This window comes from Homo sapiens, chromosome 5, assembly GCF_000001405.40.
Source record: "Homo sapiens chromosome 5, GRCh38.p14 Primary Assembly".
Taxonomy (NCBI): domain Eukaryota; kingdom Metazoa; phylum Chordata; class Mammalia; order Primates; family Hominidae; genus Homo; species Homo sapiens.
This window is the reverse complement of record NC_000005.10, coordinates 140,478,977-140,504,637: the sequence shown is the minus strand read 5'-3', so window position 1 is coordinate 140,504,637 and position 25,661 is coordinate 140,478,977. Positions and strand designations below refer to the sequence as shown.

General features: G+C 35.2%; 2 protein-coding genes across 2 annotated transcripts in view; both read right to left on the bottom strand.

Annotated features, from left to right (window-relative positions):
* The window catches only part of ANKHD1-EIF4EBP3 (ANKHD1-EIF4EBP3 readthrough), a 147,744-nt gene that overhangs the window by 44,939 nt on the left and 77,144 nt on the right, over positions 1 to 25,661 (bottom strand). The window contains exons 11-15 of the mRNA NM_020690.6: positions 21,971 to 22,058; positions 19,390 to 19,517; positions 18,906 to 19,049; positions 17,578 to 17,680; positions 7,360 to 8,118 (exon numbers count right to left, since the gene is read on the bottom strand). Of these exons, the coding sequence (NP_065741.3) occupies positions 7,360 to 8,118; positions 17,578 to 17,680; positions 18,906 to 19,049; positions 19,390 to 19,517; positions 21,971 to 22,058 (1,222 nt within the window). The remainder of the gene's footprint in view (positions 1 to 7,359; positions 8,119 to 17,577; positions 17,681 to 18,905; positions 19,050 to 19,389; positions 19,518 to 21,970; positions 22,059 to 25,661) is intronic.
* Positions 1 to 25,661, bottom strand: part of ANKHD1 (ankyrin repeat and KH domain containing 1) — a 138,017-nt gene that overhangs the window by 35,212 nt on the left and 77,144 nt on the right. The window contains exons 11-15 of the mRNA NM_017747.3: positions 21,971 to 22,058; positions 19,390 to 19,517; positions 18,906 to 19,049; positions 17,578 to 17,680; positions 7,360 to 8,118 (exon numbers count right to left, since the gene is read on the bottom strand). Of these exons, the coding sequence (NP_060217.1) occupies positions 7,360 to 8,118; positions 17,578 to 17,680; positions 18,906 to 19,049; positions 19,390 to 19,517; positions 21,971 to 22,058 (1,222 nt within the window). The remainder of the gene's footprint in view (positions 1 to 7,359; positions 8,119 to 17,577; positions 17,681 to 18,905; positions 19,050 to 19,389; positions 19,518 to 21,970; positions 22,059 to 25,661) is intronic.

The window sequence follows — 25,661 nt, the reverse complement described above, 5'->3', positions numbered from 1 at the left end:
AAGTAATTTAACTTCTCTGAGCTTCAATTTTCCCTATATGTAGAATGGCGAAAATAATGGTACCTGCCTTGGAAGGTTATTGGAAAGACCACTGAGGCAATGCAGATAAAATACTTAACACAGCACCTGATATTTAGTGCACATACATTAAATAGTAGCTTTTTGCATTGCCAACAGGGAGGAAAAAAAATTTCCAAAAATAAAAGTAAATAAAAGGAATTCTAGATTTTAGTTTGTAAAAAAGTCAATTAGATAAAAATATCCTGTGTACAATTCAAAAAAAGGGGGCTGGGCGCAGTGGCCCACGCCTGTAATCCCAGCACTTTGGGAGGCCGAGGCGGGTGAATCACCTGAGGTCAGGAGTTTGAGACCAGCCTGGCCAACATGGTGAAACCCCATCTCTACTAAAAAAAACAGAAAGTTAGCCAGGTGTGGTGGTACATGCCTGTAATCCCAGCTACTTGGGAGGCTGAGGCAGAAGAATTGCTTGAACCCAGGTGGAGGCTGCAGTGAGCTGAGATCACGCCACTGCCCTCCAGCCTGGGTGACAGAGCTAGACTACATCTAAAAAAAAGGGTGGGGGAGGGGAGGGAGACAAGTTCAAGTATTTCTCACATAAATAGCAGGGAGTATGTGTTTCCTAAATTCAATATTTATTTTGAAACTTTGTTAAAAAATCAGTATCTGAAAGTCCAACTATTTTTAAAATGAACATTGAAGTTCTATTTGAGATCTCAAAATGTGGTTTGAAAACTGAGTTAAGTCCAGGAGCGATGGCTCACGCCTATAATCCTGGCACTTTGGGAGGCTGAGGTGGGCAGATCACCTCAGGTCAGGAGGGTTGGGAGTTCAGGACCAGCCTGGCTACCATGGCAAAACCCCGTCTCTACTAAAAACACAAAGTTAGCTGGGAGTGGTGGAACGCGCCTGTAAGCCCAGCTACTCGGGAGGCTGAGCCAGGAGAATCGCTTTAACCTGGGAGGCGGAGGTTGCAGTGAGCTAGGATCGCACCACTGCACTCCAGCATGGGCAACAGAGTGAGACTCCATCTCAAAAAAAAAAAAAAAAAAAAAAAAAAAAAAAAGAAAGAAAACTGAGTTAAAAGAAATTATGTATTTTATATCTCTGAAAATTTCTTATGTTTCTTAAGAGATGGAGTTTGACCACGGGGGGAAACAGGACCTATCTCAGGGATGTTGTGAGTAGTCTAAGAGATACTGTATATAAAGCATTTAACACAGTGTTTTTAGCAAATGGTGGGTGCTCAATAGATGTAACTATCAGATATTTTATAGGATTGTCAATACTATTATTCATTGTATTGAAAAATAAAAACATTATTCACTCAAGAAAGGAAAAACTCAGAAAAAAACATATAATCAGTAATAATATACAAAAAAATCAACAAAGCATCAGTGATGGCAATAACCTTACATTTGCACCCAGATTAAAAGTCAGTCAAAAACACGTAGGACTTAAAGAAAAATGTAAGCATTTTAAGTGTTGGAAAATATTTTCTCTCTAGAATTTTTGATATGACTAGATCCCATTCAAAGATACTATTCGTAAGTGTGAATGACTCAGTTTAGTAGATTACTAGTTTAAATAAGTGAGCAAAGTTTAAGATGCCCAGATATATTTCTACATGAGCTACCCAGCTCATCCCCACCAACATATATAACCATCTTGGCAATACAAATTTCTCCAGCTTCTGTCATCACATAAATAACATAATTTAACTATTTAGTTACAAATAGGAATAATTATTACATATGTTTGTTTCACCTATAAGAATATGCAAAATGGAAACAAAGCCTTAAAATTTTTTGTCATTTTTTTCCTGGAAGAAGTGGCCAAGAAAAAAATAATAGTAATAATGAAAAATTGTTGTCATTCAATGAGTTAAAAGCAGATACTATTTTGTTACACCTCCTCAAAATAGCTGATATGTTTGGAAAACTGCTTGAAAAAACAAGACACTGAAGATTAATATGTTACAGAACCTTTCTAACAGTAAGACTTCAGTAGTGGTCCCACAATTATTAACATATACTTTAGTAAAGAACTACTTTTCTATCAGTATTTTATTTATGTTATCTCATCTCTCTTTATTATGAAAAACAGGTATATAAAAATTTTTTTGAATAGTTGATTAGAGTGCTATGCCAGAATGTGATAAGAAACTTCTTCACAGAGTTGGCTTTTAAAAAGTACTTTTGTGCATTTAACAGCTTTGTTAACAAAAATGTGTTGTTACAATAATTACTAAACATTTTTGTACTACATTATCCTAGAAGCATTTTTTCACTCCATGTAATAATGACAGTCAGAAACATTCCATAGCAAGTGCCTTTAACAGGACTAATTACAAATGAAAAGTTCTAAAACTAGGAAGTAGCAAGAGATTTAAAAAGTGCATGTGGAATAAAGGTTGTATCAAGAGAAAATTACACCAAGACTATGACATTTTCATAAATTCTAAAATATTTCCTACCTCTGAATGAAATATCTCTGAAAGTGACCAAGACAGACTGCTACCACAAACATCTATATATAATTCAAATTAAACTTATACGGTATGCTTTTTTTTTTTTTTTTTAAAGAGATAGGGTCTCTATGTGTTGCTCAGGCTGGTCTTGAACTCTTGGCCTCATGCAATCCTCCCACCTTAGCCTCCCAAGTAGCTAGGATTACAGGTGCAGAGTCACTGTGTCTGACAATTTATCCACTATTTTAAAATGAGGTGAGAGAAGTAAGTACAGTATGTTACTTGACTTTTTATGAAGTTGAAGAAAGTTTTGTAGGCAATATGGAAGATAATAAATCTAATTATTAAAAAATCTCACTGATACTAGGTGTACATAAAATATGTTGTGAGTTTTTTTTTTTGAGATGAAGTCTCGCTCTGTTACCCAGGCTGGAGTGCAGTGGCATGATCTCAGCTCACTGCAACCTCTGCCTCCTGGGTTCAAGGATTCTCCTGCCTCAGCCTCCCGAGTAGCTGGGATTAAAGGCACATGCCAGCATGCCTGGCTAATTTTTTTGTATTTTTAGTAGAGATGAGGTTTCACTGTGTTAGCCAGGATGGTCTCGATCTCCTAACCTCATGATCTGCTCGCCTTGGCCTCCCAAAGTGCTGGTTAGATTAAAGGTGTGAGCCACAGTGCCCGGCTGTTGTGAGTTTTTAAGAAATTTAATTGCTGTAATCTGTTTTATGTATTGGTAACTTTATTAAATAGTTCTATGTAAATAAAAACCTATGGTTGGCGTGGTGGCTCATGCCTGTAATCCCAGCATTTTGGGAGGCCGAGGCGGGCAGATCACGAGGTCAGGAGTTTGAGATCAGCCTGGCCAACATAGTGAAACCCCATCTCTACTAAAAATACAAAAAAAATTAGTCAGGCATGGTGGTGGGCGCCTGTAATCCCAGCTACTTGGGAGGCTGAGGCAAGGGGAATCGCTTGAACCTGGGAGGCGGAGGTTGCAGTGAGCCAAGATGCGTGACAGTGTGAGACTCCGTCTCAAAAAAAAAAAAAAACAAAAACCTATAAATAAAATATTAAAGTCAATTAGAAAAAATTATTTAAAGATTTTATTGCAAATCTCCTTAAGAGGATTTCTTAATTACTTTTTAATTCTTAAACCTATATTCACTACTACAGAGTTAAAGATACTTTAAAATTACAATTTAAGAGCCTGTTAAGATGGCAATGATAGTAACAACATAGTAAAAAGTCAAAAACTGTATTAAAACTTACATGTACATCAAATCTTAATATAAAAATAAGGGAAATGATTAATAGAATTTCGAAGTCTAAGGAAATAACAATACTTAAAGATAAATCAGAACTTTAAGTTGACACATATGCATGCATATTACATCTAAGGTTCTTAAACTTGGCTGAACTGAGTTTGAATCTTGGTACTTACTAGCAACTTAATTTCCCTAAGCTTCAGTTTTTCTTTTCTTTTTTTTTTTTTTTTTTTTTGAGACAGAGTCTCGCTCTGTTGCCCCATGCTGGAGTGCAGTGGTGTGATCTTGGCTGACTGCAACCTCCGCCTCCTGGGTTCAAGTGATTCTCCTGCCTCAGCCCCCCAAGTAGCTGGGATTACAGGCATGCACCACCACGCCTGGCTAATTTTTGTATTTTAGTAGAGATGGGTTTCACCATGTTGGCCAGGCTGGTCTTGAACTCCTGATTTCAAGTGATCCGCCGCCTGCCTCTGCCTGCCAAAGTACTGGGATTACAGGCATGAGCCACTGCTCCCGGCCAGCTTCAGTTTTTCAACAGAAAAATAGAGGTGGGAAAAGGACTTATTTAAAGTATTATTATAATTAGCCCATGAAATAAAGTATATTTAGCATTTATCATAGAAGTTGGTGCATGGTAAATGCTCAATAAATGTAAATAAATTGATATTAGGTGATTTTTAACCAATCTTCTTTCTATATTAGAATTGAAAATTTTGGCCAGGCGCGGTGGCTCACGCCCGTAAAACCAACACTTTGAGAGGCCGATGCAGGTGGATCACTTGAGGTCAGGAATTTGAAAGCAGCCTGGCCAACATGGTAAAACCCCATCTCTACTAAAAATACAAAAATTAGCTGGGTGTGGTGGCAGGTGCCTGTAATCCCAGTTACTCGGAATGCTGAGGCAGGAGAATCACTTGAACCCAGGAGGCGGAAGTTGCAGTGAGCCGAGATCAAGCCACTGCACTCCAGCCCGGATGACTGAGTGAGACTCTATCTCAAAAAAAAAAAAAAAGAAAGAAAATTTTACTAAGTATTTCTAGAACTGCTCAAAGGTAAAAGCTATTTTGAATTTCTTTAAATTACTTTATATTCCTAGACATTTGAACTTTGAGAATCACTTGCTATTATGGTAACTGCTAAAAACCCAATGCTCACTTTCAGAAGGACTTGAGGAACCATGTTCCTAATCAATAATTTATATAGTCTGTTTGGAACTACATCATGTATGACACGTATCAAACAACACACTAAAGGGCTAAGTTAATCAGCTAATCAAGTTGCAACATTAATAAATTATATAAACAACTTATTATCACAACAAATATTTTGAAAGAATAGCAATAAGGAAATAATACTCCTATATTTAAAAAGTAAAATGTACTGTTATCATACATCTAAAATTCTTCTAAAGTAAAATTTACTTCTAAAGTAAAATTCTAAAGTAGAATTTTAAGATGTACAGTATTCTTTACTAATATGAGTGGTAAGAACTAGAGTTAAGTAAAATTAATTATATATTTGTCCTACTCTATAATCTTACCAATATGTTAATATGTTTTACAATTACAGCATTAGGTATTAACCTAATTCACCCTTGCCTTATTTATTTTACCTTCAACTAAGAAAATTAAGACAAACTTTGACTTAAGAAAATATAATATTTAAATTTAAGACAGGTACATCATCTTGAATAAAGAAAATATAATTACTGCCATATAGTTCAAAACACATAGCCTTCACAAAAATGGAAGTTTTTACATGAAGATAATTTTTGTACCTGTTGGCTGATTTAAAATTTAAAACTTATTAATAAAAGAATATTGTACAATGTGGTAGGTATTAATGTCTAACACAAATTAAATTTTGTTTATATTAATAAAAAGATAATTTCTAAGCCAATTTTCTAAGTTTCATGCAAACTTTGTAAAAGACTAATTTAACAAATACTTCAGTGAAATAAAACTTGATGTTCCTTAACACTTACAAGTTCCTTTTAGAGCTATTTCTACATTCTTTAAAAAAAAAAAAGTTCTAACATAACTGAACTAATCAGTAACACAGATTTCATAACTGCAAACTGTGCACTTAATTAGGAACATTATAATGCTAGTTACAGAACACTACATGTTAAAAATGTTATTCCCAGTTCATCAGTTTCATCATTATTATTCGTAATCATACTTCACATTCTAAAATCTGTTTTTACCCAGATTAAAATTAGAATTCCAAATGAACTACAAGAATTTATTCACAATTTATAACAACTTTCAATGCTAATAATACAAAGTTAATTTGTGTCTACCAACTGAAGATATAAAAACCCAAATTAAAGAACAAAGAGCCTAACTCCTTAAAACATTTCCCAGAATTTTAATTTTCTTTAAGAAAACTAAGACATTCCTCCTCTGCACAATGATACCTATTACATATCAGAGGAGCCTCAAAGGCAATATCACAATTCTATAACCATTGGAAGTCAAACACATGCCCAATAAAATTCCTGATTTCAGTAATCTTATTCCACATTTAAAAAGATTCAGTAAAGATCAGGAAGACTAAAGGCTCACAAAAGAAGAAAGGAAACTGAGATAGCATAATTGGGATGGGAGAAGGGGAGGAGAATATGACAAGAGGCAACAGACAACAGTAAGGAAAAAAATGTTGCAATCAAGAGACAGAGGACTGGCCTGCCTTTGAATATCACTCCAGCTACATCTTAGTTCTTGGTCTTCATCCACTGTCAACAGCCATTCTGGCTGCATTTCTGAATTGGGCTCTCATGGAGGTGATACATTCACCAGCCATCTTTAGGAAGGTAAATGATTAATTGCACTGTTTTCCCACTGCTGCAAGGACAATGAAAGGGAAAGTAAACTTGTGCACCTCATTTCATATCTAGTTGTAATTTTCCACACAACAATAAACAGAAACATATACTTCAAGGTTATCAGGCCTTTTTTTCTGTGTGTGTGTGTGTGTGTGTGTGTGTGTGTGTGTGTGTGTGTGGTGTGGTGTGGTTGTGTGCTTTCATTAAGAAAGTTAATGCAAAAATCCCAATCTTCAAATCATCAAGTGACAATCATTTTAATGCACCTTATCTTCTAACCACAAATATTATAATATGGAATACTTAGTTTTATCTGAACATCCCATTTAATTGGAAATACGTAAGTTGATCTAATAAAATTACAAATTAAAAAAGCTGTGTGATTTTAAATTTCCAGACATGAAAATCAACAGCAGGAAAATTTTAAGTATAATCTTATACGAATACTTCTAAAAGCCTACAAAGAAATTCTACTTTGAGATCTCCTACCCAAGTCACAGCACACAGTGGTTTTGATACCAACGGTTTAAAACAAAGGATTGTGGCAACTTTATTTCTTTGCCTTTGCAATATGACAAAAAAGAAGAGGGGAAAACACACTTTTGTGTGTTAGTGCTATTGAGCATAGTTAATTCACTTCCAAAATACTTCGAGAAATGGGTAATTTTACAAAGTTCTAAAATGGAAACGTACAAAGTCTACGTTTTTGGAGGGGTATATAAAGAAGTTCAGCACACAGATTAAAGAGAAATTATTACAGATATATTTCTTAACCCACCTGCTATCAGGTCATCAAGAGTGTCGGTAAGCGTCTGAGCTGGAGTTGCAACCATTAGTCCATCTGGTTCTTGAACTAACAGCCCCTGATCATGTCCAGTAATAGCAATCTGAGGCTGTCCTACAATCTGCTGATTACCTGATACTTTCTGAAGTTCAAGAGAATTTGTCCCATTAGAACCTAAGTCACTGGAAAAGTTACACTGTGGAGATGATAAAGGCTGGACTGGGACAAAATCAATCTGTTCTGCCGATGGTGGAGACTGTTGCTCATCATCAACATCATTATCTTTAAATAAGATTGTGTCAACCTGAGGTAACTCTGAAAAGTGATCCTCTGGGAGACTACCATCTCCTTCCCCTTCTGGGAAGACTCCTCTATGAGAGCACTGTTGGTGTAGAGACACTGTGTCTTTCTGACCTTTGGTTTCCAAGTATTCTTTGGTAAATTGCTGCTGTGTTTTCATCTGCAACTGCCTTTCCACTTTCTGCAGTTCTTTCAATATTTTCTTCTTCTTCTGGACTTGCTCTTCTCTGTTCTTTTTAAGTTCTTCTATCTTATCTTTGTTCAGAGGTTCACCTTGAATTAACTCCAGTGACTTAAGCTGTGCTTTTTCAATAGCACTAATTCTTTGTCCCAGTTCATTCAGCTTGCCTTCAGTCTCCTCTACTATGCACTCCAAAGGCTGGTATGGGTGAAAAGATGGCAGTAGGTCCTGATCTGCTACCTGGAGGGAACTGGACTTCTGCTTGGATGTACCTAAGCACATGAAAAATGTTTGAAAGAGTGCCATGCTAAAAAAAAAAAAAAAAAAAAAGAAAAGAAAAAAAAAAAAGAAAACCAGCCTCCCCTCCCACACACACGGACCTCCCTCCCAAAACCCTTATAACTAATGTTATAGAATGAATGTTCAGAGTCACACCAGTGTTAGGCAGGTTAAAGCCTATACTCATCTATTTCAAGCAGCACAAACTAGGATGTTGCTAATTCAAAAACTGTGAAGTTTTAAAAATCTACTTTAGGATAGGAGGATTTTGGAAATTAAGTCAGGGGCGGGGAAAAGGAAAACCAAGAGGCAAGAATCTCAAAATTCTGCTGATTAGATTGGACTTTTTAAAGAACACCAAATCTAAAGCAGTATCAAAATAGCGTTGAAAATACCAGAAATGTTAACTGCCCATTTAGAACAATCATTCTTTTAGCAATATCAACTCTGCAAGCAATGCAGAGTTAATGCAAAAGACCAAAACTTACAGATCAAAGTAGGGGATAGTGTTTTTCAGTCAAAATATTTTTCTTCTTATATTGAAATATAATGTGAAATCAGTTTTTTCAAGACATGTCTTTCTAAAATTCTCCATTAAATATACCTTTAACACATCTGTACTGGAACACTGTTAAACTTACTATGCAAAGGACAACTTGCATTTAAATGAACACTTCAAGTAAATTCTGTCTATGAGAGAAACAATAAATGATCCTAGGAGAAAATCAGACTTCCCATTTAGGGTTACTCATGCTGACAGTATATGTTAACAAACAATGGCAATGTATATTATTTTAAGGTTTTAAATTACACTTAAGTTCCTTCCTTCATAACAAATCAGCTGAAAAATAATTATCAATATTAATAATCCTAACATCTGGACATGAAATGAAGGACATAAATTTTTTGACGTACAATACCTACTCTGAGGCAAATCTAAGGCTTAATCTTGTTTAGAAGTAGGACTAGGCCAGGCACAGTGGCTCACGCCTGTAATCCTAGCACTTTGGGAGGCAGAGGCAGGCGGATCACAAGGTCAGGAGATCGAGACCATCCTGGCTAACACGGTGAAACCCCGTCTCTACTAAAAATACAAAAAATCAGCCAGGCATGGTGGCGGGTGCCTGTAGTCCCAGCTACTCAGGAGGCTGAGGCAGGAGAATGGCGTGAACCCGGGAGGCGGAGCTTGCAGTGAGCCGAGATTGCGCCACTGCACTCCAGCCTGAGAGAGCGAGACTCCATCTCAAAAAAAAAAAAAAAAAAGTAGGACTATTCAGCAACAAAAAGGAACAAACTACTGATTCATGCTACAACATGAGTAAACCTCAAAAACATTATACTAAGTGAAAGAAGCTAGACACAAAAGACCACACATTGTGTAATTCCACTCATATCAAATCTGCAGAGACAAGGCAAATCTATAGAGACAGGGACAGTAGTGGCTGCCTGAGGTTATAACAGTGAAAATGAGGATCAATTGCAAACAGGCATAAGAGATCTTTTTGGGCAGATGGAGATGGTCTAAAACTAGATAGTGATGATGGTTACACAACTCAGTAAATTTACTAAAACTCATTGCATTGTACATTTAAAACAAGGGAACTTTATGGTATGTAAATTAAACAATAAAGCTGTTTGAGAAAAGCTGGGTAAAAAAGTTATCTATTATTTTGAATTGCAGTCAACATATATGAATAACATAGGTAATTTGGGAATTTTTAAAATAAAATCATCCATTGTATTAAAAATGATTCTCAAGTCCAAAGGAAAAAAGATCATTTAGAGACATGAAATGTTCTGAATTTCAAAGGGGTGACAAAACTACTGAAGAAAAAAAAATTAGAGATTCATCTACTTTTTTGCTAGAATAGAGATCTCAAAACTGCAGGTAGCTCAAACATATGCAACATGTGTCATTACTAAAAAAGTCTAAGTTTTTCACCTACATACTGTCTTTAATAAGGTAAGATGACCACAATTTCAATATCACTGCAATCACTTTCAGAGGCTTAGTTATTCCTTAAATTGCAAAGTACACTGTCTATATTCAATTTATATATATATAATTTTAAGAGATGGGATCTTGCTATGTTGCTCAGCCTGGTCTTGAACTCCTGGCCTAAAGTAATTCTCCAGCCTCAGCCTTCCTCAATTTATATTTCTTTCTGAGTAAAAATGATGGAAAAAGACTTTATTCTTTCAGAGCAAAAGCAATTAGATTTGTGAGCTAATTTTATTATTACTTTCCTAAGACCATATAGGAGTCCCTGTTTTGATTTACAGTATTTGTTTAAAGTGCCTAATGACAATCAACAAGAAAAGGAAGGTAAATGGTCACAAATAGCAATGTACAAATCCACAGCAATAGCAAAGAAATATTCAGTCATGTAATAAATTCAATGACATCACTCGAGTACATTTAGAAGTTCTACAAAGACTGAATGGTCCATGGTCCTTTAAACATCCATTAGTTTCAAAACACCCTTGTATAGCTACTAAGCAATTTGTATTTAAGATTCAGGAAAACTAGGTAAGAGTTCAACACTAACCAGACTGGTTAGTAATTATGTTATGACCCCACTGGACATTCACAGATTTAAAATCTTTATACATAGTATAATCCAAAATAAGAGTAGAATTTTGAGGACAGTAACAGATAGGAATGGCCCTGTCTATCTTGTTAACAAATAATATGCAAGAAGCGTGGAACACAAGATTACTAAGAGTAATTTATGAATAGACAAACTATAAGCCCAGAACGTATGTAGCATTAAAAATGGAAGATGGCAAAAATGATGCATAAAAAGTGGTTCATCTCAAAATAGCCATGGAGTTAGTGGAATTGCCTAAAGACACATCAAAGGACTAACACAAGCTATAACATCAAGAATAAAACAGATTGGTGAAAAACAGATAATGTCGCCTAATTAGTCCTAGAAACTAAAGCAACATCTACAGTTTCTGGGTAGAGATTAAGACAAGTATTCTTTTAGCAACAAAATTTTCAACAGGTAGTAAGTAGTATTATAAGATACCAGAAAATAAAAGGGTTCTATCTCCTTCAAACAGCTTACAGTGTCAGATACAAAGACATCTATTCACTGGTATCAGTGAATGATATCATAAAGTACTATTTAAAAATAAAGGTGGCCGGGTGCGGTGGCTCACACCTGTAATCCCAGCACTTTGGGAGGCCAAGACGGGTGGATCACCTGAGGTTGGGAGTTCTAGACCAGCCTGACCAACATGGAGAAACCCCGTCTCTTCTAAAAATGTAAAATTAGCTAGCCCGGTGTGGTGGCGCATGCTTGTAATCCCAGCTACTCAGAAGGCTGAAGCAAGAGAATCGCTTGAACCCAGGAGGCAGAAGTTGCAGCGAGCTGAGATCGTGCCAATGCACTCCAGCCTGGGCAACAAGACTAAAACTCCGTCTCAAAGAAAGAACCACAGGTAAAGTCGCCATTTCATCTTTTTGGTTTGGTTTCTATCCTATTCCTTTGCCTCTCACTTTCCCTCCATTAACAAAACTAGAAAAAATCTGTATTAGAAGCCATGATGTAGTGACAGCTTAAACATGGCCTTTATTTTTTTATTGGCAGTGAAGGAATGAGGTGGACATGTATTTGCCAAATATTTAGTTTTTTATTGGATTGAGCTTAATCCTATCAATCATTTTTGTGTCTAAAAATAATCAGTGCATTGTACAATGGAAAAATAATGGCCAATGGGAAAAAAACATGATATACAGAAGGATCTAGACTAGATTTCATATTTCCTTACTTGGTTTTGTCTATAAAACTTAAACCTTGTTCTGTAATTCCCTTGCTTACATCATCACACAGCACCCTACTAGAATGATTTTTAAACAGCATTCCCAACTGGATCTCAAATAGAAAATCAGGTTGAAAAAGTATAACTAAAAATAACACAGTGCATCAAATGTAGTAGAGTGTTTATTATCCACTGGAATTTCTGTTTTGATAAACAGATGTATGATGTGTCCTGGGCTTCAATATAAAATGTTTCTTATTGTGGTCATAGTTAAAAATGAAAGCCACTAACCTAGAATTGACTTATTTTTCCTTTATGTCTAAATATTCCTCTCAAAATTTCCCAAACTAACAGGACACATTATACATTTTAACATAGCAATCACTTAACCAAGGGTGTCCAAAGAAACATCTGTGTTACATGTTAACAGATTAATTCAATCTTCTTCTTATTACTATAAGCAGTTATATGTTAAAAGATATTATCAAATTTGGGCATGTGTAAATCCATATAAGAATGATTATATAATGGAAAGTGACTAAAGAATATTATCAGTAAAGTTTCCAGAGGAATACTGAATACCATTCACTGTATATACAATTTTTCTATATAATTTTAATGATTTGATATAAAAATGTGAGAACTTTTCATGTCACTTACTCCAAAAAGCAACTCTAACATATAAAAGCAGCATGCCAATTTAATTCTTACTTTACATTTACGCTTCTGTTTTCAATCTCGTTTCCACCATTCTAGAATGCTACTTCTTGATTACTTTTTTAAAACATCTCTTTAATCACAATGTCTTTCTTAAAAATGCTTAAGAATTTTCTTCTGCCTTCAAAATAATCTATATTCTTAGCCTTGCACTCATTAATTTATTCAATAAGTACTTAAACATCTAATACAAGCAAGGCATAGTAGACCATATAAAGATAAGCAACATAAACCCTGCCCTTAAGGAGCTTACAGTCTAAGTGGGGAGATGATGTTCCAAAGAAATTCTTATATAGATCCATAAAGGGACTATACAAATATTTTCATCAAAGCATTGTTAGTGGGGGTGAGAAAATAGAGGCAATCAGGATATTCGTCACTGGGAGAAAGGACAGGTAAAACATGGAGGATATACAGGGTGTGAAGCACTATGCTATAGGTAGAAACAATCTAGAGATAGGTGGATAAATCTTAAAAACAGTACTGAGTAAACAAAGGGAAAAAACAAAATGAAATCTGTAGCACAATACTATTTATGTAAATTAAAAATACAAGGTAATCGCCGGGTGTGCTGACTCACACCTGTAATCCTAGCACTTTGGGAGGCCAAGTCGGGCAGATCTCTTGAGCTCAGGACTTCAAGACCAGCCTGGGCAACATGGCAAAACCCTGTCTCTACCAAAATACAAAAAATTAGCCAAGTGTAGTGGCAGGGCACCTGTAGTCCCAGCTACCTGCAGGGCTGAGGCAGGAGGATTGCTTGAACCTCGGAGGTTGGGGCTGCAGTGAGCTGAGACTGCGCCACTGTACTCCAGCCTGGGTGACAAAGTGAGACCCTGTCTCAAAAAAAAAAAAAAAAAAAAATATATATATATATATATATATGTGTATATATATATATATATGTGTGTGTGTGTATATATATATATATACACACACACACATATATACATACATATAAAAAATAAATATTTTATAAGAATTTATAAGAACAAAAGAATATACACATCAAATATTGAAATGATTATCTATGGGGGAAGCAGGGGAATGGAAAGAGAAATAAAAGGGAATAAATGAAACAAGAGAGAAGTTATGGTGATAAAGCACCAGAAATTGAGTATGATTAACTCAACCCTCTACACTTGAGGTCCCAAGGGGAGGGGAGCAAGCAAAAGTGACAAGAACTGGAAGGAAGATCCAATGAAGTACTCTAGAATTTCAGAGAAAAGGAAATTACTCCTCAGGAGGGCTTGAGGTATACACAAAAGATGTGTTTTGTTTATCCTGACATAATTTTAAATGCTTTGCAGCAGATTAATTCTAAGTTACACAACTTGCAAAAGATCAAAATGAATCTTTCTGTAGAACCAGTTATAACAAGGCAACGGATTTACATTACTTATGTATCCTTTCCCATCTGAATATTTGTAACTGCAGGTAATAAAGTTAAATAATGCTAGAAAACTGAGCATGTCACTCTGAGTTTCATATTTTATGGACGTGATTCTGAGGCCTCTGTTAGATGCCACCTAGAATCCTGAATCCTTGAAAACCAACAGACAAGTGAGATCAAGTTGCCTAAATCGGGAGGTTATGAATCAAGATGGACGGAGCCTGTACAAATGGTACACATGGGGCATGAAAGAAAAGAATATCTGAGTAGAACATATATCAAACACCTGGGTAAGATTTATGGGCATTAATACATTTTTAAAAGGATGAGGATATGAATAATAAAAAGATTTACTAAAAACAGACAGGAGTAAAATGTTATAAGAACCTGAAAAGATGATCGCTGGAAGAGGAAAAGAGAGTCCTAGGGAATAAGAACCCTTTGTCCATCCCTAATCACATACACGACACAGAATATATGGACTTAGAAGAAACAAAAACAAAAAGGTCAAACAGCAATTTCATCACTCAAGGGAGCTTTTCCAGAGACATAAAAGAGAAGCTTTAAGAAGAAAAAGGAGCTTTAAGTATAAAAAAAAAGTTAAGTCTTTATTTAAGATAGGTTTTCCTATCCTGGTAATTCAGTGTGTTCTTTTCCATAATTAAATGATTTTTCCTAATTCATAGCAACATAATATTCTATGATATGCATGATTTATACTAACATGACATTTTAACACAATGCACTATCGCAGTTTGATCCTACATAAGTAACTGTTAGATTGCCAATGCCATTTGGTTGATAGCAGTAGCAAGTGCCCAAGTGATCTAAATACAAATGTTAATTAGGGATAACCCTAATAATCTAGTAAAATGATTCCTTAGAAAGGTAGTCCATGTTTATACTATTTAGTAAGTAATAAAACATCAAAATGCAGAAAATAACTAAATAATCCAAGATATTTCAGTAAGCAAAAATATGGTTACTCACTAGAGTATAAACTTAAAAAATCACTACCTAAACATCTCAGAGTATTTACATATTAAACCTAAATTTAAAATGTTTTTATTTCCTCTTGGCATACACTCTATCTAGCTTATTTCTTGATTGTTTTGTGGATCTGTGTTATTTATTTATTTATTTATTTATATTTTGAGGCTGTCGCCCAGGCTGGAGTGCAGTGGTACAATCATAGCTCACTGCTGCCTGGAGCTCCTGGGTGCAAGTGATCTTTCTGCCTCAGCTTCCTGAGTAGCTGGGACTACAGGCACAGGCAACCATGACTGGCTAATTTTTAAATTTTTTTAAATAGAGACAAGTTCTCCTATGCTGGGCAGGCTGATCGATCATTCTGCCTCGGCCTCCCAAAGCACTGGGATTACAGGTATGAGCCACAGCACATAGCCTAATTTTTTTTCTTTTTCTGGTTTTTTTTTTTTTTGGAGACAAGGTCTCGCTCTGTGGCCCACACTGGGGTGCAATGGCACACTCATGACTCACTGCAGCCTTGGTCTCCCAGGCTGAAGTGATCCTCCCACTACAGTCTCCCTAGCAGCAGGGACTACAGGCTTGTGCCACCACTCCTGGCTAACTTTTGTATTTTTTTGTTAGACAGGGTTTCGCCATGTTGCCCAGGCTGGTCTCGAACTCCTGGGCTCAAGCAATTTGCCCACCTGGCCTGCCAAAGTGCGGGGATTATAGGTGTGAGCCCCTGTGCCTGGCACTAATTTTTTTCTGAGAGTCTCACTCCATCACCCTGGCTGGAGTGCAGTGGCAAGATCTCGGCTTATTGCAACCTCTGCCTCCCGGGTTCAAGTGATTCTCATGCCTCAGCTTCCCTAGTAGCTGGAATTACAGGTGTGCACTACCACACCCGGCTAATTTTTGTATTTTTAGTAGAGATGGGATTTCACCATGTCGGCCAGGCTCGTCTCAAACTCCTGTACTCAAGTGATTGACTTGCTTAAGCCTCCCAAAGTGTTGGGATTACAAGCGTGAGCCACCACACGTGGCCTATATTTTTTTTTATGATTTTTTTTTTTTTTGAGACAGAGTTTTGCTCTTGTCGCCCAGGCTGGAATGCAATGGCCTCAACTCAGCTCACTGCAACCTCCACCTCCTGGCTTCAAGCGATTCTCCTGCCTCAGCCTCCCAACTAGCTAGAATTACAGGCACCCACCAACACACCTGGCTAATTTTTTGTATTTTTCGTAGAGATGGGGTTTCATCATGTTGGCCAGGCTGGTCTTGAACTCCTGACCTCAGATGATTCACCAGCCTCAGCCTTTCAAAGTGCTGGGATTACAGGCGTGAGCCACCATGCCCGGCCAATGATTCTTATTTAGTATTGAGTTTCCAAAGCCAAAGTTACTACAGTCCTCTATAAGGTTTAGCCAAATAAACTCCCCCCCAAAGAAAACAATAAAAACAGAGGCATTTAGCTTTAAATATTTTACTAAAGGTTAAATATCAGCTGATTATGATACTTACAGATGCATGTTTAATTTGCTTTTTAATTGTTAAGATTAAAAACAGCAGGAAAATTTTGAATAGCTAGGTGTTCCATGAAAAACTGCTAGAATTAGCTTAAATCAGAGAGACTACAGATATTTCATCTCTGAAATTAATAGTTTAGCCCTGGTAAAGGCCCCCAATACTTTAAATTACTAAAATTGGCATAATTTGAAAGAAATTTCTGTTTGCTGCTATAACAGTCAACCCACACCAACTTTTCTTAAATCAGTGTTACAGATATTTATATACACTTACATACCTCATTGTGATTTCAATATCTAGGACTTGATTATCATACACTAAATGAACGATGTTCATAAGTTTGTTTTTACATAGTTTTAAACATCCTACATATTAACTATTTTCTTTATTTCAGAAAACTCAGATATTACAACTATACATAATTATGAAGTGAAGGTACATTTATACATGAAGGTACATTTCATTTACAAATATAAAGACAGCAGAAACATATCAGAGCTCATAAACTTGAGTTTTTTAAGTAGTATACTCTCCTTCTTAATAGTCATTTGGATATTACTTGTACACATTTTATTTTGATAGTTATTTGTCCAGGTTCACATAGTGACAGATGATAATCTACTATATTCAGCATTGCATAAATGCAACTGAATGTAATTCTTAAACTTCTCACTCATTAACTGAATCAATGTTACAAAGACTTAACTAGATAGCAAATATGCATTTTTACTCTTCATTTACTATTGGTTAGCTAAAGAATTATCAAATGAAAAATGAATGTCTGATAAACTGTGGTTACTTAAATATAATCAAGAACTTGGCTTGTTTCTTAAGTGTTTTCATCTGTGCCAGATGAAAGCTACAACTATCAGTATGTTAACAGGAAAATAATAAAAAGTCATTTTTCCTAACACGTCTTTTTGGTTTTAGATAGTAAGACTATTTGCATTTGTCAGAATTATCTACCTCAATTAGCCATGGGTACACAGTAACTCTGTATCATTAAAGTACATTTCTGGATTTATCAATTAGGTGAAAAAATACCCATTTTAAGAAAAATAATTCAATAACTAACCTTTTTGCACTCCTAAAAGGGCAGGAGAGTTCTCCTGTGAAGTTCTGTCAGGTTCCTGGGGAGGTACAACCATGGCAAGTGTATGCGTTGGCACACGTGGCACCTAAAAAGTCAACTCAGAAAAAAATCATCTCAGACCAAAGAATAAGACAAAGGCCCATAAATGAAACAGATATCCTGTTTTAGGTTATCTTCATATACCACCAAATGCACTTTTGTTTCCTGAAGCTTTTTTTAAAAAAAGCTTTCACCAAGCAATAATTTTTGAGACTAATGATTAGACAGTCGGGGAATCTACAAATAGTCAATGATTTTAAGCTAAATGGAAATAACATTACTCCCTTGCTGAATAGAACGCCTTGCTGGTTCCAATTGTAGCTAGGGGTACAAGTCACATATTCACTATCCACTAGCCAATTTACCCTTGTTCAAATTCTACATGGATCAAAAGAAAACAAAAATGTAATATATTTCTTCAATTGGGGTATGCTAGCAGTTTTCAGAATGACTTTGTAGAAAAGAATTTAGATTTCACCAACTTAATATACTAGTAAAAGCTCCATAATTTAAGGTGGGTTTAAAAGTTACTTTAATGAACTTCTAGCGCTTATGTTACCTATACTTTCATGGTTGACAAAAGTCACTATCTCTAGGATAATTAATACTACCTTGGGAGGTATTAAGAAAATGCTTTCTCGGCCGGGCATGTGGCTCACGCCTGTAATTCCAGCACTTTGGGAGGCCGAGGCAGGTAGATCGCCTGAGCTCAGGAGTTTGAGACCACCCTGGGCAACATGGTGAAACTCCATCTCCACTAAAATACAAAAAATTAGCTGGGCGTGGTGGCGCACACCTATAGTCCCAGCTACTTGGGAGACTAAGGCAAGAGAATCGCTTGAGCCTGGGAGGCGGAGGTTGCGGTGAGCTGAGATTGTGCCACTGCACTCCAGCCTGGGCAACAGAGCAAGACTCCATCTCAAAAAAAAAAACAAAAGAAAAAAGAAAAAGCTTTCTCTTGATTCTCTTGTTAAAAAACAAATAAAAAACCCTGAAAAACCTAGTTGTAATAAGATAACAACTTAGAATACTTACGTTTATATTTGATATTAAGTGGTTTTTAAAAACCACTATTCTCAATAAATAAGGCAATAACAAATTTCAGTGTACCTTTAAAGAAAATAAATCCTAAAGAATTTAGAGTCATGATTTTCTCAATATGTAACAGAGAATAAAAACAAGTCCATTTTGCTTAAAACTGATTTTAAACAAAAACTTCTAATCATGTTGAAGAATATTTATATTAACAAACAAGCTCCATTTTACTTTACCTGAGACTGATCTTGAGAAGGTGGAGGGAGCTGAGACACATCTGTGGTGGGAACTGACAGAACATTATTTGGATAATCCAACAGATAAGAAACTACATTAGTATGGCCACCCTTTGCAGCTTCAATGAGCATTGTTGAACCATCCTGAAAAAGAATTGCCATGATAATTAATTCTTTATAGTTTCTTAGCAGCTCATATAAAATCAAAACTCATTTAAACAGTATTAAATACTAAGCACTAAGATAGATCAAACATATTTTTATAACTATACACATATTATTTATATATATATACACATACATACGTGTGTGTGTGTGTGTGTGTGTGTGTGTGTTTTAATAGAGATGGGGTCTCCTTATGTTGCCTAGACTAGTCTCAAACTCCTGGGCTCAAGTGATCCACCCGCCTCAGCTTTCTAAAGTGCTGGGATCATAGACATGAGCCACCGCACACAGCCTGTTTACTTATTTTTAAGTAGACTACCTTGAGTCGATGAGTAGGGTCAGCCCCATGAGCCAAGAGAAGCTCAACAACTGCCAGGTGGCCTCCTGCACATGCCAGCGACACTACTGTATGATCATTATTGGCTGTAGCCCTGTTAACATTGGCACCTTTGAAGAAAAATAAATCGCAATCTTAGCAAAGGTTGACATCAAGCTAGTTCATAGTCAATATCATTTAAAAATTTTTTGTGAAGTATAATGTAGATACAAAAAAATATACAAATCATTAAGTGTATAGTTTGAATTTTTTTCACAAAATGAACACACACCTGTGTAACCAGCACCCAGAGGAAGAAACAGAACATTATCCACATACCAAAAGCCCCATCTTGTGCTCCCTTTCAGTCACTACCCAGCCTCCCAATGGTAACCACTACCCTGACTTCCAAACTGGTTTTAGTTTTTGAACTTTATATGAACGGAATCATACAATGTACTCTTTTGCGTCTGGCTTCTTTCACTCAATATTATATTTGTGAGATTCATCCACAATGTTGCATGAAGCTGTAGTTCGTTCATTCAATATCACTTTTAAAATGGAAAATCTAGAAGACTAAGATTAATAAATATATACAGGTTAATGTAAGCATCAAATAACACCACTGTATATAACTCAAAATGTTTCAAAGACATTTTTGATCTACTAGAAAGTGGCAATATAGCCAGGTCTCAAAGTAAAGAAAACAGATTTTTTTAAGCAATGTTTAAGAGATATATAATTCTTCATATTGTGTATTTTAAGAGTCAGGGGACCTAGATATGGAGAGAAGACAGAATATTATCCAGATATGTTATCTGAAAGGCAAGTTGTTCAATAGCTGTGTATAACATGACCTGAAAAATGTCTAAATGCAAAGTCTTTTCTTAGTTTCTTTTTTGATAAATTATTTTTGACCCCTGGAAAAAATAACTTTAGTTCAGCTACCTTTAACAATTCCAAAAGATCTCAACTAGAAAGTTAAGACTATAGAAATATTCATTCTTCCTTCTTAATTCTACCTATCTTATTTAAGAGAAAAATAAGTCAGTGGGTAAAACCACTACTATTAGTTTGTCTAATTTTCAGAAAATATCCAGCTGAATCTAATCCTAACTTGCATAAAAGTACCTTTTGGGAAAGGTAAAACGCAGCAATAAACATCCTGAGATTAGCAACATGAAATTATTTTAGATGACAGGATTATTTGACATAGAAAGGATATAATCAATGTGTTCCTATTCCTGATAAGCCTGATTATATTCTTAGCAGGTTGTTGTTGGGTATGATTAGGTATTCTCTTTAGTAAAGAAACATAAGAGAACTCCAGAGTTTATCCATCTATTTATTTCTGTGTGGTTGAGGTAAACAGCTTTTACAGACTATATTATGTAAAGATATGCCTTACTTGGCAGCAAAAATGCAATATGAAGAAAATAAACCTAGTTTTATCCAATTCAGAGGAAAACAAGTACATTTAAAAGGATAAAATCTGGCCAGGTGCAGTGGCTCATGCCTGTAATCCCAGCACTTTGGGAGGCCGAGGCGGGCAGATCACCTGAGGTCAGGAGTTTGAGACCAGCCTGGCAAACCATGGTAAAACCCTGTCTCTACTAAAAATACAAAATTAGCCGTGCATGGTGGTGCATGCCTGTAATCCCAGCTAGTCGGGAGGCTGAGGCAAGAGAATCACTTGAACCCGGGAGGCGGAGGTTGCAGTAAGCCAAGTTGGCGCCATTGCACTCCAGCCTAGGTAAAAAGAGTGAAACTCCTTCTCAAAAAAAAAAAAAAAAAAAAAAGATAAAATCTTACCCTGCATTTTTAATGTCACTAAATGTCAGAAATCTATTAAAATATAAATATAGTTTTTATCTTAATAACATAACACAACCTGAGAGAATCTTCCTTGTATTTTGACCATCCTATCCTAGGATGTTTCATTATATGCCACAGTATTTCTGACACTATACAAAGAGTTAGGCTGAACCAAATGAAACTGCTGACATTACCATTTTTGATTCATAACATGACAATTATATACGGTTAAACCTAACATTGGTTCTACAGCATTTTATTTTACTGCAGTAAACAGTCTTAAGCTAATTCTTCATTCACCAGTTGAAATTTCTTGCCTAAATATAATTCTAATAATAGAATTTCTAAAGACATATAAAAATTATAAATAAGACCCTTACAAACTCAGTTAATTCAACTGTACCACAAACAAGTACCACAGTAGCAGACTTACTCTCTGTCCTCCACCCACATCTCCAGCAGAATAGACTCATCATTAGCTGTTGCATATCCACCTAATCATAGTGGGACATTTTACATTTGGCTTTTCTAAGTTGGGAGCAACCACATGTTGCTTTGTTGATGAAAACTTAAAATTCAAAACTAATAAAGAAAATTCCCAGTAAACAACTCACAAACTCTATGCTTACTAAATAAAATATAATAACAAAAGGCAAGAATACAATACTTTACTGTAGGTAAAGTAGCCATAACATAAATTGCAACAGTTTAGGATTTTTTTTTCCATAAACTGTAGCCTCTTGGAAATGATCACTTGCCCTTTCTTTACCTTTGCTAATAAGAAACTGCACAGTGCACAAATGACCAGCTCTTGCAGCTTTCATCAAAGGTGTTCTTCCACCTTCAGATTCATGTTCCTGTTAAAGAAATGGAAAAAATAATCCATCAATGCCAACAGTCTAACCATCTATTTTAAAAACAGTACTGATGAAATGAGAAATAACGAGGATTTAATATACTTACTCATTGTAGACACTTTATACCACCTACCTCAATTCCCCCATTATACAGGATTTTCAGTCCAAAGTAGATAATGTAACTTTCTAAGGGCAAGTTCAGTTTTGCATACCAAGTAATAACCATTAAAGATAATATTAATGTTTTGTTTGGTTCCCAAAGAGAAATCACTGCATTTTTCTAATTCTAAGTTTTAAAAAATGTTTCCCAACTATTTATCTGGATTGTGAAAAAGGAACCTCAGTCCTGTGAAATGATTAGAAGAATCTTGATCTTATAGCAGAAGCCAATAAAAGCACTATCAAAGGATGCAAATGATTCCCTGAAGAAAAACACTATGGTATTTTAGGAGTAACGGAAAAATGAAGAAGAAAAATATACCAATGGGTAGTTTTTTTTTAAGTAGAAATTAAATACTTGAATAGTCAAAGGCAAAAGATACAACTCCTAATAGCAGAAAGATTGTTCTTTCTAGGAAGTTTGCCAGCAAGAGGAATGAATGATAAAACAGTTTTTAACCATGCATGCCTCACATCAAATGCCACTAAAAGGAGCTTGCTTATATGGTGAGTAATACTGTCTGTTGGAAGAATTATGAACTCATTAAATTCATCTAAGTATTAAAATGTAGCTTATATACTGCTTCTTTGAAAAGTTCTCTTACCTATCCCCTCTTTCATTATATATGCAAACACGAATTTCTGTTGTTCTGGTTCTCTTTTATTACTAAGAAAAAACTGATAAAGACTGGTGGTTACGTTAAGGCTTTATTTCAGCTATATTCTTCTAATTAACTCTGAAAATCCTATAATTACCACATGATCAATTTAAAATATGTGCTCTCCCAATAGAATACAATTTAGTCTATTTACATTTTAATTATTCTGATCTACAACTCAGGCAAAACAACAATAAGAAATGAGTAGACTGTCAACTCAATGGAAACCTCACAGAAAAGTGATAGGAATTCCTCCCTAAAATAGGTTTAAAAAAAAATCTTGACAGTGTAGTATCATTAAACCTACTTTAAAAACTACTTTATGCTTTGACTTTTTAATTGTTATACATGTTAATTAAATAAGAATCTTTTAACTCTAGATTATGGAAAAATGAATAACTATAGATAATGCCAAAATAATTTGGCTTTAGAATAGATCTTGAACTCACATTCAAATTTAGGTAAATCTAACATTCTGGCAATTTACTTCAAATAAAACTGAATATGTATCACAAAGACCTTACTTGGAAAGACCTAGAAAGTTGTTTGTCCAGTTTTTCTATCCAACTTATTTCTGAATTATCATTACAATCAACTACATCCTGGAAATAAATTGCCCATTTAGCAACTTGTTTTTTCCCTTCCTGCCTCACAACTTTTTTGCACATACTGGTCTCTCTTCTTTTTAATGCTTTTCCTCCACTAACTCATTTTCATCCTTTACATCTCAAGTCAAGTGTTATTTCCTCAAGGAAGACCTCCCTGAACTTCCTGACTAAATCACTCTTCCTATTATGGACATACATCTCTATGAAGCTCTCCTTCATAAACTGCAATCATATTTTAGTCTGTGTAAGTATTATATTTAACTAACCTGTCTCCTCCACTAAACGGTAAGCTCCATGAGAGGAATGATCTTGTCTTTTTTTGCTTGCCACTGTACACATAATGCTTAAACAATGGAGTGATTAAATATTGTTTAATCATGCAGGAAACCAAGCATAACTGAACTTGCAAATCTTCCCTCTCATAGCACTGAGGTTTGAAGTTTTTATTATTTTCTACTAGGTAAATAAGAGAAAGGAAAGTCAACTAAACAAGAAATTAAGAGTAGTAGTTAAGCCCGAGAGTAAGACATTGATTATCTGCAACTGATATGTTATTATTAGAACATAGTTGGGCAATATTAATGTCACTTATCCTTACTTTACCCTTTTCTCTTTCTTATTTCTTAAGCCTGGCAGTGATCAACATAATTAGGTCATATCAACATAATTAGGTCCCGTGAGTCATGGCAAAGACATTTCAAATGAAATCATGAAAAATGATTTCAAAGCTTTCAGCCCTGATTTAGAATAAACTTTAAAAAATAACTGTTAATTCTGTATATTTAAAATATTACCATAGTTGTTAAAAGACAAGAAATCAGAAAGTACAGTCCCAATATCCTCACACCAAGTCATTTCAAAATTCAACATATTAATTCCTGAAATAAAAGGGGTGAAAAGCTACCTATTTTATTTTCCTCTCTATAAATATACATTCATTCCCTTAGTTTTGAATAACATAATCACATTTGAAAAAAGTTGATAAAACAATGCCACAACTCTGTATTACAACATTTTGTGTCTTAAAATGAATAATGTATATCCCACAACACACAATATTTGCCCCAAAATATCTGACTACTAAATCTTTCTTTTAAAATGGGAATCAGGCTACTGTGGGCACACTCCCTATGGGTTAGCCCTGCTGTGCAAGAAGCAGAAAAAAGAAAAAAATAATAATATATCTATATATGTATATATGGAAAATCCCCATTATATACATATATATGTATGTATATATATAGGAGTACATTGATTCCCATTATATACATACATTATACATATATATTCCCATTATTGGTTCCCATTATATACATACATATATACATTACACACATATATTCCCATTGATTCCCATTATATACACACACACATATATACGCATATACATACATAGGTATATATATAAGTATATATATATACCTATGTATGTATATAATGGGAATCAATGTATATATACATATGTATGTATATAATGGGAATATACATGTATAACAGGAATACATACATATAATGGGAACACATATATGTATATAATGGGAATCAATAATGGGAATATATATGTATAATGTATGTATATACATATATGTGTGCATATCATGGGAATCAATGCATATATGTATATAATGGTAATCAAATTTGTATACATCGTACTACTTATGAGCATTGGATTTAGTCATATAGCCACTATTTGTTCAATACTAATAAAATTTTAGGATACAAATTGTTTCTGATTTTTTTCCCTTCATAAACGCAGAAAATTATTTTCCAAGGCTACAAACTTAAATATCATGCAGTTTAATGTTTCTTTTTCTGTTCTTGAGAACAGCTAGAATAATATAGAAAGCATCCATTTCGGCTGGGCATGGTGGCTAATGCCTGTAATCCCAGCACTTTGGGAGGCCGAGGCGGGGGGGATCATGAGGTCAGGAGATTGAGACCATCCAAGCTAACATGGTGAAACCCCGTAAAATACAAAAAAAAACAAAATTAGCCGGGCGTGGTGGCGGGTGCCTGTAGTCCCATTACTCAGGAGGCTGAGGCAGGAGAATGGCATGAACCCAGAAGGCGGAGCTTGCAGCGAGCCAAGATCGTGCCACTGCACTCCAGCCTGGGTGACAGAGCAAGACTCCATCTTAAAAATAAATAAATAAATAAAAATTAAAAAAAATAAATAA